The sequence below is a fragment of the Homo sapiens genome, chromosome 12 (genome assembly GCF_000001405.40).
Source record: "Homo sapiens chromosome 12, GRCh38.p14 Primary Assembly".
NCBI classification, from domain to species: domain Eukaryota; kingdom Metazoa; phylum Chordata; class Mammalia; order Primates; family Hominidae; genus Homo; species Homo sapiens.
Window position 1 is genome coordinate 37,689,168 of NC_000012.12, and position 13,312 is coordinate 37,702,479.

A 13,312-nucleotide genomic window follows, 5' to 3' on the forward strand; every position below is an offset into this window, starting at 1 on the left:
ACAAAGAAGTTTCTCAGAATGCTTCTGTGCAGTTTTTATATGAAGATATTTCTTTTTCCACAATAGGCCTCAAAGCACTCCAGATATCCACTTGCAGATTCGATGAAAAGAGTGTTTCAAAACTGCTCAATCAAATGAAAATTTCATCTCTGTGAGATGAAAGCACACATCACAAAGAAGTTTCTGATAATGCTTCTGTGTAGTTTTTATGTGAAGATATTTCCTTTTCCACAAATTACTCAAAGGGCTCCTAACATCCCCTTGCAGATTTTACAAAAAGAGTGTTTCAAAACTGCTCAATCAAAAGAAAGGTTCAACTCTGTGAGATGAATGGACACAAAACAAAGAAGTTTTTGAGAATGCTTCTGTGTGGTTTTTATGTGAAGATATTTGCTTTTCCAAAATAGGCATCAAAGCGCTCCAAATATCGACTTGCAGATTCTACCAAAAGACTGTTTCAAAACTGCTCAATCAAATGAAAGTTTCAAATCTGTGAGATGAATGCAGCCATCACAAAGAAGTTTCTCATAATGCTCCTATGCAGTTTTTATGGGAAGATATTTTATTTTCCACCATCGGCCACAAAGGGCTCCCAATATCCACTTACAGATTCTACAAAAAGAAAATTTCAAAACTGCTCTATCAAAAGATAGGTTTAACTCTGCGAGTTGAATGCACGCATCACACAGAAGTTTCTGAGAATGCTTCTGTGTAGTTTTTATGTGAAGATATTTCCTTTTCCATTGTAGGCCTCAAAGCGCTCCAAATATCCACTTGCAGATTCTCCAAAGAGAGTGTTTCAAAACTGGTCAATCAAAAGAAAAGTTCACCTCAGTGAGATGAATGCACACATAACAAAGAAGTTTCTGAGAATGCTTCTGTGTGGCTTTTATGTGAAGATATTTCGTTTTCCAAAATAGGCCTCAATACGCTCCAAATATCCCATTGAAGATTCTACAAAAAGAGTGTTTCCAAACTGCTCAGTCAAAAGAGAGTTTCAACTCTGTGAGATGAATGCACACATCACAAAGAAGTTTCTCAGAATGCTTCTGCATAGTTTTTATGTGAAGATATTTCCTTTTCCACCATAGGTGGGAAAGGCCTCCAAATATCCACTTGCAGATTCTAGAACAAGAGAGTTTCAGAACTGCTCTATCAAAAGATAGGTTCAACTCCGTGAGTTGAATGCACACATCACAAAGAACCTTCTAAGAATGCTTCTGTGTAATTTTTGTGTGAAGATATATCGTTTTCTGCCATAGGCCACAAACGGCTCCAAATATACAGTTTCAGATTCTACAAAAAGAGAGTTTCAAAACTGCTCTATCAAAACATAGGTTCAACTCAGTGAGAAGAATGCACACATCACAAAGAAGCTTATCAGAATCCTTCTGTGTACTTTTCATGTGAAGATATTTTCTTTTCCATATTAGGCCTCCTAGGGCTCCAAATATCCACTTGCAGATTCTACTAAAAGAGTTTTTGCAAACTGCTCAATCAGAAGAATGTTTCAACTCTGTGTGATGAATGCACACATCACAAAGAAGTTTCTGAGAATGCTTCTGTGTAGTCTATATGGGAAGATATTTCCCCTTCCACCACCGGACACAAAGGGCTCCAAATATCCACTTGCAGATTCTAAGAAAAAAGAGTTTTTCAAAACTGCACAATCAAAAGAAATATTCAACTCTGCGAAATGAATGCACACAAAACAAAGGAGTTTCTGAGAATGTTTCTGTGTAGTTTTTATGTGAAGATATTTTCTTTTACACCATGGGCCTCAAAGCACTCCAAATATCCACTTGCAGATTCTTCGAAAAGTGTTTTTCGAAATTGCTCAATCAAAACAAATGTTCAACTCTGTGAGATGAATGCTCACATCACAAAGAAGTTTCTCAGAATGCTTCTATGTAGTTTTTATGTGAAGATATTTCTTTTTCCACAATAGGCCTAAAAGCGCTCCAAATATCCACTTGCAGATACTACAAAAAGAGAGTTTCAAAACTGCTGTATCAAAAGAGAGGTTCAACTGTGTGAGATGAATGCACACATCACAAAGAAGTTCCTCAGAATGCTTCTGTGTAGTTTTTCTGTGAAGATATTTCCTTTTCCACCATCAGCCTAAAAGCTCACCAAATATCCACTAGCAGATTCTACAAAAAGAGTGTTTCAAAACTGCTCAAAGAAAAGAATGGTTCAGCTCTGTGATATGAATTCAGACATCACAAGGAAGCTTCTCAGAATGCTTCTGTGTAGTTTTTATGTGAAGATATTTCCTTTTGAACAATAGGCCTCCAAGGGCTCCAAATATCCACGTGCAGATTCTACTAAAAGATTGTTTCCAAAATGCTCAATCAAAACAAAAGTCCAACTCTGTGAAATGAATGCACACATCATAAAGAAGTGTTTGAGAATGCTTCTGTGTAGTTTTTATGTGAAGATATTTCCTTTTCCACAACAGACTTCAAAGGACTCCAAATATCCACTAGCAGGTTCTACTAAAGAGTGTTTCCAAACTGCTCAATCAAAAGAATGGTTCAACTCTGTGGGATGAATGTACACATCATAAAGAAATTTCTCAGAATGCTTCCATGTAGTTTTTATGTGAAGATATTTCCTTCTCCACCTTAGGCCTCAAAGTGACCCAAATATCCACTTGCAGATTCTACAAAAAGAGTGTTTCAAAAGTGCTCAATCAAAAGAAAGGTTCAAGTCTGTGTGATGAATGCATACAAAATGAAGAAGTTTCTCACAATGCTTCTGTTTAGTTTTTATGTGAAGATATATCCATTTACATTATAGGCCACAAAGGTATCAAAATATTCACTTGCAGATACTACTAAAAGAGAGTTTCAAAACTGCTCTATCAAAAGATAGGTTCAACTCTGTGAGTTGAAAGCACATATCACAAAGAAGTTTCTCAGAATGCTTCTGTGTAGTTTTTATGGGAAGATAATTCCTTTTCCACCATTGGCCTCAAAACACTCAAAATATCCACTTGCAGATGCTACAAAAAGAGTGTTTCAAAACTGCTCAATCATAAGATAGGTTCAACCCTGTCAGATGAATGCATGCACCACAAAGTTTCTCAGAATGCTTATGTTCAGTTTTTATGTGAAGATATTTCGTTTTCCACAATAGGCTTCAAAGCGCACCAAATATCCACTTGCAGATTCTAGAAAAAGAGTGTTTCAAAACTGCTCAAACCAAAGAAAGGTTCATATCTGTGAGATGAATGCACAATCAAAAAGAAGTTACTCATAATGCTTCTGTGTGGTTTTTATGTGAAGATATTTCCTTTTCCACAGTAGGCCTCCAAGGGCTAAAAATATCCACTTGCATAGTATGCTAAAAGAGTGTTTCCAAACTGCTCAATCAAAAGAAGGGTTCAACTCTGTGTGATGAATGCACACATCACCAAGAAGTTTCTGAGTATTCTTCTGTGTACTTTTAATGTGAAGATATTTCCTTTTCCACAATAGTCCTCAAAGCACTCCAAATATCCACTTGCAGATTCTACAAAAAGCGTGTTTCAAAACTGCTAAATGAAAAGAGATGTTCAACTATGTGAGATGAATACACACATGACAAACAAGTTTCTCAGAATGCATCTGTGTAGTTTTCATGTGAAGATATTTCCTTTTCCACCATAGACCGCAAAGAGCTCCAAATATTAACTTGTAGATTCTACAAAAGGGAGTTTCAAAAATGCTCTACTAAAAGATCGGTTCATCTCTGTGTGATGAATGCTCACATCACAAAGATGTTTCTCAGATTGATTCAGTGTAATTTTTATGTGAAGATTTTTCCTTTTAAACCATAGGCCACAAAGCACTCCAAATATCCACTTGCAGATTCTACAAAAAGAGCGTTTTCAAACTGCTCAATCAAAAGAGAAGTTTAACTCTGTGAGATGAATGTACACATCACAAAGTAGTTTCTCAGAATGCCTTGGTGTACTTTTTATTGAAGATATTTCGTTTTCCAGCATGGGCCGCAAAGGTCTCCAAATATCCACTTGCAGATTCTACAAAAAGAGAATTTCAAAACTGCTCCAACTAAAAAAAGGTTCAACTCTGTGAGTTGAATGCACACATCACAAAGAGATTTCTCAATGCTTCTGTGTAGTTTTTATGTGAAGATATTTTTCTTTCCATCATATGCCACAAAGGGCTCCAAATATCCACCTGCAGATTATACAAAAAGAGCATTTCAAAACTGCTCTATCAAAAAATATGTTGAAATATGTGGGAGGAATTCACACATCACAAAGAAGTTTCTCAGAATGCTTCTGTGCAGTTTTTATAGGAGGATATTTCCTTTTCCACCATAGGCCACAAAGGACTCCAAGTAATCACTTGCAGAGTCTACAAAAAGAGTTTCAAAACTGCTCTATCAAATGACAGGTTCAACTCTGTGAGTTGAATGCACACATCACAAAGAATTTTTTCAGAATGATTCTGTTAAATTTTTATGTGAAGAAGTTTCTGAGAATTCTTCTGTGTAGCTTTTATGTGAAGATTTTTCCTTTTCTACCATAGGCCACAAAGGTCTCCTAATATCCACGTGCAGATTCTACAAAAAGAGTGCTTCAAAACTGCTCAATCAAATGAAACTTTCAACTCTGTGAGATGAATGCACACATCACCCATAAGTTTCTCAGAATACTTATGTGTAGTTGTTATAGGAAGATATTTCCTTTTCCACCAACAGCCACAAAGGGCTCCGAATAAAAAGTTACAGTTTCTACCAAAAGAAAGTTTCAAAACTACTCTATCAAAAGAAGGTTTAACTATGTGAGCTGAATGCACACATCACAAAGAAGTTTCTCAGAATGCTTCTGTGTAGTTTTTATGTGAAGATATTACCTTTTCCACCATTGGCCTCAAAGCGCTCCAAATATCAACTTCCAGATTCTACAAAAAGAGTGTTTCCAAACTGCTCAATCAAAAGAAATGTTCAACTATGTGAGGTAAATGCACACATCACAAACAAGTTTCTCAGAATGCATCTGTGTAGTTTTTATGTGAAGATATTTCCTTTTCCACAAGAGAACCCAAAGCACTCCAAATATCCACTTGCAGATCCTACAAAACGAATATTTCAAAATTGCTGCATCAAATGAAGTCTTCAATTCTGTGAGTGAAAGCACACATCACAAAGAAGTTTCTCAGATTGCTTCTGTGTAGTTTTTATTGGAAGATATTTCCTTTTCCTACGTAGTCAACAAAGGGCTTCAAATAATGACTTGCAGATTCTACAAAAAAAGAATTTCAAAAATGCTGTATGAAAAGATAGGTTCAGCTCAGTCTGATGAATGCACACATCACAAATAAGTTTCTCAGAACACTTCTGCATAGTTTTTATGTGAACATATTTCCTTTTCCAACACAGGCTGCAAAGAGCTCCAAATATCCACTTGCAGATTCTACAAAAAGGGAGTTTCAAAACTGCTCTATCAAAAGATAGCTTCAACTCCGTGAGTTAATCGCACACATCACAAAGAAGTTTCTGAGAATGCTTCTGTGTAGTTTTTATGTGAAGATATTTCCTTTTCCACCATAGGCCTCGAAGCGCTCCGAATATCCACTTGCAGATTCTATGAAAAGAGTGTTTCCAAACTGCTCATTCAAAGGAAATGTTCAATTTTGTGAGAAGAATCCACACATCACCAAGAAATTTCTGAGAATGCGTCTGTGTAGTTTTTCTGTGAAGATATTTCTTTTTCCACAATGGAAGTCAAAGAGCTCTGAATATCCACTTGCAGATTCTACAAAAAGAGTGTTGCAAAACTGCTCAATCAAATGAAAGACTCAACTCTGTGAGATTAATGCACACCTCACAAGGAAGTTTCTAGAATGCTTCTGTGTAGTTTTTATTGGAAGATAGTTCCTTTTCCCCCATGTGAAACAAAGGGCTCCAAATAACCACTTACAGTTTCTATAAAAGAGAGTTTCAAAACTGCTCTATAAAACATAGGTTCAACTCTGCGACTTGGATGCACTCATCATAAAGAAATTTCTCAGAATGATTCTGTGTAATTTTTATGTGAAGATATTTCCTTCTCCACCAGAGGCCTCAAAGGGCCCCAAATATCCACTTGCAGATTCTACAAAAAGAGTGTCAAAACTGCTCAATCAAAAGATAGGTTCAACTCTGTAAGATGAATGCACACAAAACAAATGAGTTTCTGATAATGCTTCTGTGTAGTTTTATGTGAAGATGTTTCCTTTTCCACAATAGGCCACAAAGTGCTCCAAATATCCACTTGCAGATTCTACAAAAAGAGTGTTTCCAGACTGCTCAATCAAAAGAGAGGTTTAACTCTGTGAGATGAATGCACTCATCACAAAGAAGTTTCTCAGAATGCTTCTGTGAAGTTTTTTTTTGAAGATATTTTTTATGTCTCCATTGGCCGAAAGGGTTCCAAATATCCACTTGCAGATTCTAAAAAGGAGAGCATCAAAACTGCTCTATCAAAGATAGGTTCAACTCTGTGAGTTGAATGCACACATCACAAAGAGGTTTCTCAGAATGCTACTGTGTAGTTTTTATGTGAAGATATATCCTTTTCCACCATAGGCCGCAAAGGGCTCCAAATATCCATTTGCAGATTCTACAAAAAGAATGTTTCAAAACTGCTCTATCAAATGTTAGGTTCAACTCTGTGAGATGAATGCACACATCACAAAGAAGTTTCTCAGAATGCTTCTTAGTAGTTTTATGTGAAGATTTTTCTTTTTAAACCGTAGGCCTCAAAACGCTCTAAATATCCACCTGCAAATTCTACAATAAGAGTATTTCAAAACTGCTCAATCAAAAGAAAGGTTCCACTCTCTGAGATGAATTCACACATCTCAAAGAAGTTTCTCAGAATACTTCTGTGTATTTCTATGTGAAGATATTTCCTTTTCCACAATAGGCCTCCTAGGGCTTGAAATATCCACTTGCAGCTTCTACTAAAAGATTGTTTCCAACTATTCAATCAAAAGATAAGTTCAACCCTGTGTGATGAATGCACACATCACAAAGAAGTTTCTGAGAATGCTTCTGTGTAGTTTTTATGGGAAGATATTTCCCCTTCCAACACCGGCCACAAATGGCTCCAAATATCCACTTGCAGATTCTAAAAAAAGAGAGTTTCAAAACTACTGTATCAAAACATTGGTTCAACTCTGTGAGATGAATGAACACATCACAAAGCAGTTACTCAGAATGCTTCTGTGTAGTTTTTATGTGAAGATATTTCCTTTTCCACCAGAGGCCTGAATGCACTCCAAATATCCACTTGCAGATTCTACAAAAAGAGTGTTTAAAAACTGCTCAGTCAAAAGAAAGGTTCAACTCTGTGGGATGAAGGCACACACAAAAAAGAAGTTTCTGAGAATGGTTCTGTGAATTTTTTATGTGAGGATATTTCCTTTTCCACCATAGGCTGCAAAGGGCTCCAAATATCCACTAGCAGATTCTACAAAAAGAATGTTTCAAAACTGTTCTATCAAAAGAAATTTTCAAGTCTGTGAGATGATTGCACACACAAAAAAGAAGTTTCTTAGAATGCTTCTGTGTAGTTTTTATATGAAGATATTTCTTTTTCCACCATAGGCCGCAAAGACCTCCAAATATCCACTTGCAGATTCTACAAATAGAGATTTGCAAAACTGCTCTAACAAAAGATAGGTAAAGCTCTTTGAGTTGAATGCAGACATCACAAAGGAGTTTCTCAGAATGCTTCTCTGTAGTTTTTATGTGAAGACATTTCCTTTTCCACAATAGGCCTCAAAGCGCTCCAAATAACTACTTGCAGATTCTACAAAAAGCGTTTTTCCAAACTGCTCAATCAAAAGAGAGGTTCAACTCTGTTAGATGAATGCACACATCACAAAAAGTTTCTCAGAATGTTTCTGTGTAGTTTTTATGTGAAGATAATTCCTCTTCCACCATAGACCTCAAAGGGCTCCAAATATCCACTTGCAGATTCTACAATATGAGAGTTTCAAAACTGCTCTATCAAAAGATTGGTTCAACCCTGAAAGTTGAATGCAAACATCACAAAGTAGTTTCTCAGAATGCTTCTGTGTAGTTTTTATGTGAAGATATTTCCTTTTCCACTGTATGTCTCAAATCATGCCAAATAGCCACTTGCAGATTCTACGAAAACAGTGTTTCAAAACTACTCAATCAAAACAAAGTTCAACGCTGTGAGATGAATTCTTACATCACAAAGAAGTTTCTCAGAATGCTTCTGTGTAGTTTTTATGTGAAAATATTTCCTTTTCCACAATAGGCCTCAAAGTGATCCAAATATCCACTAACAGACTCTACAAAAAGAGTGTTTCCAAACTGTTCAACCAAAATAATGGTTCAACTCTGTTTGATGAATGCACACATCACAGAGTAGTTTCTCAGAATGCTTCTGAGTAGTTTTTATGTGAAGATACTTCCTTTTCCACAATAGGCCTCAAAGCGCTCCATATATCCACTTGCAGATACTATGAAAACAGTGTTGCCAAACTACTCAATCAAAAGAAGTGTTCAAATCTGTGAGATGAATGCACACATAACAAAGAAGTTTCTCAGAATGCTTCTGTATAGTTTTTATGGGAAGATATTTCCTTTTCTACCATCAGCCACAAAGGACTCCAATAACCACTTGCAGATTCTATGAAAAGAGAGTATCAAAACTGCTCTATCAAAAGATAGGTTCAGCTCAATGAGATGAATGCACATTTCCTGAAGAGGTTTCTCAGAATGCTTCTGTTTAGTTTTTATGGGAAGATATTTCTGATTCCACCTCAGTCCTCAAACTCCTCCAAATATCCAATTGCAGATTCCACAAAAAGAGAGTTTCAAAACTACTCAATCAACTGAAAGTTCAACTCTGTGAGATGAATGCACACATCACAATGAAGTTTCTCAGAATGTCTCTGTGTAGTTTTAATGTGAAAATATTTCCTTTTCCACCATAGGCCTTAAAGTGCTCTAAATATCCAATTACAGATTCCACAAAAAGAGAGTTTCAAAACTGCTCAATCAACTGAAAGGCTTAACTCTGTGATTGGTCTACAAATTAGAAAGTAGTTTCTCAGAATGCTTCTGTGTAGTTTTTATGTGAAGATATTTCCTTATCCACCTTTGGCCACAAAGGGTTCCAAATAACCACTTGCAGATTCTACAGAAAGAGAATTTCAAAACTGCTCTATCAAATGATAGCTTCAACTCAGTGAGATGAGTGCACACATCACAAAGAAGTTTCTCAGAATGCCTCTGTGTAGTTTTTATGGAAAGATATTTCCTTTTCCACCATATGCCTCATAGCACTCCAAATATCCACTTGCAGATTCTACAAAAAGAGTTTTTCAATACTGCTCTATAAAAAGAAATATTCAATTCTGTTAGATGAATGCACACATCACAAAGAAGTTTCTCAGAATGCTTCTGTGTAGTTTTTATGTGAAGATATTTCCTTTTCCATGATAGGCCTCAAAGCACTCCAGACATTCACTTGCAGATTCTACAAAAAGATTGTTTCATAGCTGCTCAATCTAAAGAAAAATTCAACTCTGTGAGATGAATGTATACATCCAAAGATGTTTCTAGGAATGCTTCTGTGTAGTTTTTATGTGAAGATATTTCCTTTCCACAATAGGCCTCTAAGCACTCCAAATATCCACTGGCCGATTCTACTAAAAGAGTGTCTCCAAACTCCTCAATAAAAAGAAAAGATCAACTCTGTGAGATGAATGCACACATCACAAAGAAGTTTCTCAGAATGCTTCTGTGTAGTTTTTATGGGAAGATATTTCCTTTTCCAACATCAGACACAAAGGGCTCAAAATAACCACTTGCAGATCCTATAAACAGAGAGTTTCGAAATTGTTCTCTCATAAGATAGTTTCATGCCAATGAGGTGAAAGCACACATCACACAGAAATTTCTTAGAAAACTTCTGTGTAGTTTTTACATGAAGATATTTCCTTTTCCACCATACGCCTCCATGTGCTCCAAATATCCACTTGCAGATTCTACAAAGTAGTGTTTCAAAACTGCTCTATCATAAGAAAGTTTCAACTCTGTGAGTTGAATGCACACGTCAAAAAGAAGTTTCTGAGAATGCTTCTGTCTGGCTACTATGTGGAGATATTTCCTTTTCCACCATAGGCCTCAAAGCACTCCAAATATCCACTTGCAGATTCTACCAAAAGAGTGTTTCCAAATTGCTCAAACAAAAGAAAGGTTCAACTCTGTGAGATGAATGCACACATCACAAAGAAGTTTCTCAGAATGCTTCTGTGTAGTTTTTATGTGAACATAGTTCCTTTTCCACAATAGGCCTCAAAGTGCTTTAAATATCCACTTGCAGACTCTAAACAAGAGCATTTCAAAACTGCTCTATAAAAACATAGGTTCAACTCTGTAAGATGAAAGCACACATCGCAAAGTCGTTTCTCAGAATTCTTCTGTGTAATTTTTTTTGTGAAGATATTTCGTTTTCCACCACAGGCTGCAAAGTGCTCCAAATATCCACTTGCATATACTACAAAAACTTAGTTTCAAAACTGCTCTCTCAAAAGATAGGATCAACTCTGTGAGATGAATGCACACATCACAAAGAAGTGTCTCAGAATGCTTCTCTGTAGTTTTTATGTGAAGATATTCCTTTTCCACCTTTGTCCTCAAAGTGTTCCAAATATCCACTTGCAGATTCTACAAAAAGAGTTTTTCAGAACTCCTAAATCAAAAGAAAGTTTCAGCACTCTGAGATGAATGCACACATCACAAAGAAGTTTCTCAGAATGCTTCTGTATGGTTTTTATGTGAAGATATTTCCTTTTCCAACATAGGCCTTCAAGGGCTCCAAATATCCACTTGCAGATTCCACTAAAAGAGTGTTCCCAAACTGCTCAATCAAAAGAAAGTTTCAACTCTGTGAGATGAATGCACACATCACAAGGAAGTTACTGACAATGTTTCTGTGTAGTTTTTATGTGAAGTGTTTCCTTTTCCACAGTAGGCCTCAAAGCGCTCCAAATATCCACTTGCAGATTCTGCAAAAAGATTGTTTCAAAACTGCTCAATCAAATGAAATATTCAACTCTGTGAGATGAATGCACACATCACAAAGAAGTTTCTCAGAATGCTTCTTTGTAGTTTTTTATGGGAAGATATTTCCTTTTCCACCATCGGCCACAAAGGGCTCCAAATAATCACTTGCAGACTCTACAAAAAGAGAGTTTCAAAACTGCTCAATCAAAAGTTACGTTAAACTCTGCGAGTTGAAGGCAAACATCAAAAAGAAGTTTCTCAGAATGCTTCTGGGTAGTTTTTATGAGAAGATACTTCCTTTTACACCGTCATCCACAGAGGGTTCCAAATAACCACTTGCAGATTCTACAAAAAGAGAGTTTCAAAGTGGCTCTAACAAAAGATAGCTTCAACTCTGCACGTTGAATGCCCACATCACAAAGAATTTTCTCAGAATGTTTCTATGTTGTTTTTATGTGAGGATATTTCATTTTCACCATAGGCCTTAAAGGGCTCCAAATATCCTCTTCCAGATTGTACGAAAACAGTGTTTCAAAGCTGCTCAATCAAAAGAAATGTTCAAATCTGTGGGATGAATGCACATATCAGAAAGAAGTTTCTCAAAATGCTTCTATGTAGTTTTTATGTGAAGATATTTCCATTTCCACCGTAGGCCACAAAAGGCTCAAAATATCCACTTGCAGATTCTACAAAAAGAGAGTTCCAAAACTGCGCTATCAAAAGATAGGTTCAACTCTGTGAGTTGAATGCACATATCACAAAAATTGTCTCAGAATGCTTCTGTCTAGTTTTTATTTGAAGGTACATTCTTTTCCACCATTGTCTGCAAAGGGCTCCAAATAACCAGTTGCAGATTCTACAAAAAGAGAGTTTCAAAAGTGCTCTATCAAAATATAGGTTCAACTCTGTGAGATGAATGCACACATCACAAAGAAGTTTTTCAGAATGCTTCTGTGTAGTTTTTATGTGAAGATATTTCTTTTTGTACCATGGGCCTCAAAGCGCTCCAAATATCCACTTCAGATTCTACAAAAAGAGTGTTTAAAAACTGCTCAATCAAAAGAAAGGTTCAACTCTGTGAGATGAATGCACACATCCAAAGAATTTTCTCAGAATTCTTCTGTGTAGTTTTTGTCTGAATATATTTCCTTTTCCACCAAAGGCCACAAAAAGCTCCAAATATCCACTTGCAGAATCTACAAAAAGAGGATTTCAAAACTGCTCTATCAAAAGATAGGTTCAACTCAATGAGTTAAATGCAAACATCACAAAGTAGTTTCTCAGAATGCCTCTATGTTGTTTTTATGTGAAGATATTTCCTTTTCACCATAGGCCTTAAGGGGCTCCAAATATCCTCTTCCAGACTGTATGAAAACAATGTTTCAAAGCTGCTCAAAGAAAAGAATTGTTCAAATCTGTGGGATGAATGCACATATCAGAAAGAAGTTTCTCAAAATGCTTCAGTGTAGTTTTTATGTGAAGATATTTCCATTTCCACCGTAGGACGCAAAGGGCTCCAAATATCCACTTGCAGATTCTACAAAAAGAGTGTTTCAAAACGGCTCTATCAAAAGACAGGTTCAACACTCTGAGTTGAATGCACACATCACAAACAAGTTTCTCAGAATGCTTCTGTGTAGTTTTTATGTGAAGATATTTCCTTTTCCACAATAAGCTGCAAACGACTCCAAATATCCATATGCAGATTCCACAAATAGAGAGTTTCAAAACTGCTCTTTCAAAAGATAGGTTCAACTCTGTGAGATGAATGTACACATCACAAAGAAGTTTCTCAGAATTCTTCTGTGTACTTTATATGTGAAGATGTTTCATTTTCCACAATTGGCCTCAAAGCGCTATAAATATCCACTTGCAGAACCTACAAAAAGAGTGTTTCCAAACTGCTCAATCAGAAGAAAGGTTCAACTCTGTGAGATGAATGCACACATCACCACATCACCAAGTAGTTTCTGAGTATGCTTTTGTGTAGTTTTTATGGGAAGATATTTCCATTTCCACAATAGGCCCCAAAGCGCTCCAAATAACCAGTTGCAGATTCTACAAAAAGAGTGCTTCAAAACTGCTGTATCAAACGAAATGTTCAACTCTGAGAGACGAATTCACACATCACAAAATATTTTCTCGGAATGCTTCTGTGTAATTTTTATGGGAAGATATTTCCTTTTCCACCATCAGCCACAAAGGGCTCCAAATAACCACTTGCAGATTCTACAAAAGAGAGTTTCAAAACTGTTCTATCAAAAGA

General features: G+C 36.3%; 1 annotated feature.

Moving 5' to 3' along the window:
• Positions 797-1,309: an enhancer, noted in NCBI's record as "OCT4-NANOG hESC enhancer chr12:38083766-38084278 (GRCh37/hg19 assembly coordinates)". NCBI's record gives its function as "activates a minimal SCP1, AML or CMV promoter by ChIP-STARR-seq in primed H9 embryonic stem cells {active_cell/tissue: H9 hESC(primed)}" and the evidence as "EXISTENCE:reporter gene assay evidence [ECO:0000049][PMID:30033119]".